General features: G+C 42.8%; 1 annotated feature.

The window, feature by feature from the left end:
- Positions 227–419: a silencer, noted in NCBI's record as "fragment chr12:118442171-118442363 (GRCh37/hg19 assembly coordinates)". NCBI's record gives its function as "represses an EF-1alpha promoter that drives an FKBP-Casp9 reporter gene in an ReSE screen in phorbol 12-myristate 13-acetate-treated (for megakaryocytic differentiation) K562 erythroleukemia cells {active_cell/tissue: K562(+PMA)}" and the evidence as "EXISTENCE:reporter gene assay evidence [ECO:0000049][PMID:32094911]".

Here is a 2,676-nt window from a genome sequence, read left to right as displayed (position 1 = left end):
AAAAGATTTATTTTGAAATTTTCCCTTTTTCTCCCTACATGGAATCCCGTGTAATTTCCCTAGGCTAGAAACCCCAAAGTCGTGGGGACTGAGAAAGATAAAAAGGTGTTAATAAGGATGTGGTCAAAGTACTTACATTATCCTAGCCATGTTTGGCAGTGGTCCAGCCTGAGACCACACAGCTTTTGGGTTTGTGACATTAAAAATGCGGAGATGGGCTGGGCACGGTGGCTCACGCCTGTAATCCCAGCACTTTGGGAGGCCAAGGCAGGCGGATCACCTGAGGTCAGGAGTTCAAGACCAGCCTGGCCAACGTGGTGAAACCCTGTCTCTACAAAAATACAAAAAATTAGCCAGGCATGATGGCGGGTGCCTGTAATCCCAGCTACTCAGGAGGCTGGGGCGGAAGAATCACTGGAACCTGGGAGGCAGAGGTTGCAGTGAGCCAAAATCATGCCATTGCACCCCAGCCTGGGTGACAGAGTGAGACTCCATCTCAAAAAAAAAAAAAAAAAGCAAGTAAATTAAAAAAGAAAATGCAGAGATGAAAAAGCAATTGGGTGCATACCTATTGTAAGCTCTGTGTGCACAACAAGGGGACAGTTTATTGCCCCTCTGCCATCATACTAGGGACCCTGGGGATGTAAGGAAGTGAGAAATAGACCTTAATATTGGCAAAAGACTGTAGAATTCATTTGAGAATGCCAAGTAATAAGAAAATGCAAATCAGTAGCATTATTTATGTTGCATGGCAGAGTTACACAACATTTTGTTATATAGTAGATGCTACACAAAGAATGGCTGTTTATAGACATTTTATCCCATTCCTCCAGTTCCTCTAAACTCACTCTTTCAAAGCATTTGGCCCAAGTTTAATGGCTTTTTTTTTTTTTGACAGGGTATCACTCTTGTCCAGGCTGGAGTGCAGTGGCTCTATTTCAGCTCACTGTAGCCTCTGCCTCCTGGCCTCAAGCAATCCTTTCACCTCAGCCTCTCGAGTAACTGGGACCACAGGTACATGCCACCATGCCCGGCTAATATTTTGGTATTTTTTGTAGAGACAGGGTTTCACCATATTGCCCAGGCTGGTCTTGAACTCCTGGGCTCAAGAGATCCACCTGCCTCAGCCTCCCAAAGTGCTGGCATTACAGTTGTGAGCCACTGCACCTGGCCAGGCAATGTGATTTTTAAAGTGCATATTTTAATTTTTAATTTTTATTTTTTTGAGATGGAGTCTGTCTCTGTCATCCAGGCTGGAGTGCAATGGTGCAATCTTGGCTCACCGTAACCTCTGTCTCCCAGGTTCAAGCGATCCTCCTGCCTCAGCCTCCCAAGTAGCTGGGATTACAAATGTGCACCACCACACCTGGCTAATTTTTGTATTTATCAGTAGAGATGGGGTTTCAACGTGTTGGCCAGGCTGGTCTTGAACTACTGACCTCAAGTGATCCCCCCCGCCTCAGCCTCCCAAAGTGCTGGGATTACAGGCATGAGCCATCACACGTGGCCCCTAAAATGTACATTTTAAATAAATGCAATGCTGAAAATTACAGCAAGAGAGTAAGCATTGAAAATTGGGCCAGGCCGCAGTAGCTAATGCCTGCAATCCCAGCACTTTGGGAGGCCAAGGCAGGCAGATTACCTGAGGTCAGGAGTTCGAGACCAGTCTGGCCAACATGGTGAAACCCCACCTCTACTAAAAATACAAAAATTAGCCGGGCGTGGTGGCACATGCCTGTAATCCCAGCTACTCGGGAGGCTGCAGCAGGAGAATCACTGAAACCCAGGAGGTGAAGGTTGCAGTGAGCTGAGATCATACCATTGCACTCCAGCCTGGGTGACAGAGCAAGATTCCCTCTCAAAAAAAAAAGAAAAGAAAAGAAAATTGGGCCAGGCATGGTGCTGCATACCTGTAATCCCAGATTTTGGGAGGCCAATGCAGGTGAATTGCTTGAGCCCAGGAGTTCAAGACCAGCCTGGGCCACAAGGCAAAATTTCATCTCTATTAGAATAATAATAATAATAATAATAATAATAATAATAATAATAATAATACTAAAGAAAAGAAAACAAAATTGAGGCACCAAGTTTGCCCCAAGTCAATATGGAGGAGAATTTTTAAGCTTGAAGATATTTTTTGTGGTTCAAATATAGACTATCAAAATATATTTTTTAAAATGCTTTAAGATTATTCTTTTAAATGAGAAGCACCTTAGAGTAAGTCTTGCTCTGAACTGAAGAAACTTGGCAGATCTGCAGGAAATTAAAATATCTGGCACATTCACTAATATGAAGATTGGACAATTGTGTCATGAAAAAGGCTTGAAAAACATTTGTTTTTCTTGTTTTGTTTTGTTTTGTGACAGGGTCTTGCTCTGTTGCCCAGGCTGGAGTGCAGTGGTGGCACCATCCCCCAGTCTTGCTCCATCCTCCCACCTCAGCCTCTCTAGTAGCTGGGACTACAGGCACATATCACCACACTCAGCTAGTTTTTGTTTATTAGGACTTGAAATTTAAAGATCATTTAAAGTACAAATTTTAACAAAAGCAAATTTCTTTCTTAAAAGAGTAACTAAAGTTTCCTGAGTCACATGAGAGTAAATCATTTTATATCCTCTGCTTTAGTTTTTTTCTTAATTTAAGAGATATTGGACAAAAATAACATATTCAATATGT

Source organism: Homo sapiens, chromosome 12 (assembly GCF_000001405.40).
Source record: "Homo sapiens chromosome 12, GRCh38.p14 Primary Assembly".
NCBI classification, from domain to species: domain Eukaryota; kingdom Metazoa; phylum Chordata; class Mammalia; order Primates; family Hominidae; genus Homo; species Homo sapiens.
The sequence above is the reverse complement of the archived record's forward strand: the minus strand, read 5'-3'. Positions and strand labels throughout refer to the sequence as shown.